This window comes from Homo sapiens, chromosome 1 (genome assembly GCF_000001405.40).
Source record: "Homo sapiens chromosome 1, GRCh38.p14 Primary Assembly".
Lineage (NCBI taxonomy): Eukaryota > Metazoa > Chordata > Mammalia > Primates > Hominidae > Homo > Homo sapiens.
In genome coordinates, this window is record NC_000001.11 from 219,962,432 (window position 1) to 219,963,441 (window position 1,010).

At 41.0% G+C, this 1,010-nt stretch overlaps 1 non-coding gene across 1 annotated transcript; it reads left to right on the forward strand.

Annotated features, from left to right (window-relative positions):
- LOC124904668 (small nucleolar RNA U3) lies at window positions 221-434 on the forward strand. The gene has a single exon (XR_007067175.1). It is a non-coding gene; the product is annotated as a small nucleolar RNA U3 (small nucleolar RNA).

Below are 1,010 nucleotides of genomic sequence, written 5' to 3' on the forward strand. Positions count from 1 at the left end.
GGAAGATTGCTTGAGGCCCAGAATTCAAGATCAGCCTGGGCAACATAGCAAGAGTCTGCATCTACAAAAAAATTTTTTAAATTAGCCAGGCATGGTGGCACACTCCCTGTTGTCCCAGTTACTTGGGAGACAAGTAGATGGGAGGATTGCTTGAGCCCAAAAGTTTGAGGCTGCAGTGAGCTATGATTGTGCCAGTAAACTCCAGCCTGGGTGACAGAGAAAGACTTTATCCCCCCACCCCGCAAAGAAAAGGAAGAAGAAGAGTTTTTAAATGGCGCAGCCCTGGAATCCACAAGGAGGAGGTTCAGTATTCTCTCCTGAGCGTGAAGTTGGTTCTTGGCATTGCTTCACTGCAACTGCTATTTGCCATTGATGATTGTTCTTCTCTTCCTCTGAGAGAGTAAGAGGGAGAGGATGCATGCAGTCTGAGTGGTTTCTCTTAAAATAAATAAATAAATAATAAATAAAATGGTGCAACCACTATGGAAAACAATATAGCAATTCTTTAAAACTTAAAAATAGAATTGCCATATGATCCAGCAATTCCACTTCTGGGTATAGAAACTTGAAAAGATTTGACAGCAGGGCCCTGAAGAGGTATGTACACCCCATGTTCATAGCATCATTCACAATAGCCAAAAAGCAGAAGCAATCCAAGTGTCCATCAACAGATGAATTTTTTTAATGGGGTCTACATACATACAAGCACATATTATTCCACCTTAAAAGGAAGAAAATTCCAATACATGCTAAAACATAGATAAACCTTGAGGACGTTTGCTAGGTGGAATAAACCAGCCACAAAAAGATGAATGTTGTATGAGCCCACTTATATGAGGTATCTACAGTCAAGTTCAAATTCACAAAAATGGAAGGGAGAATGATGGTTGCCAGGGGCTGAAGGGAAGGTGACATGGGGCAGTTGTTTAGTGGCTACAGAGTTTTGGTTTTGCAAGGATAAAAAAAGATGAGACTGGGTGCACAACTATGTGGATATACTTAACACTACT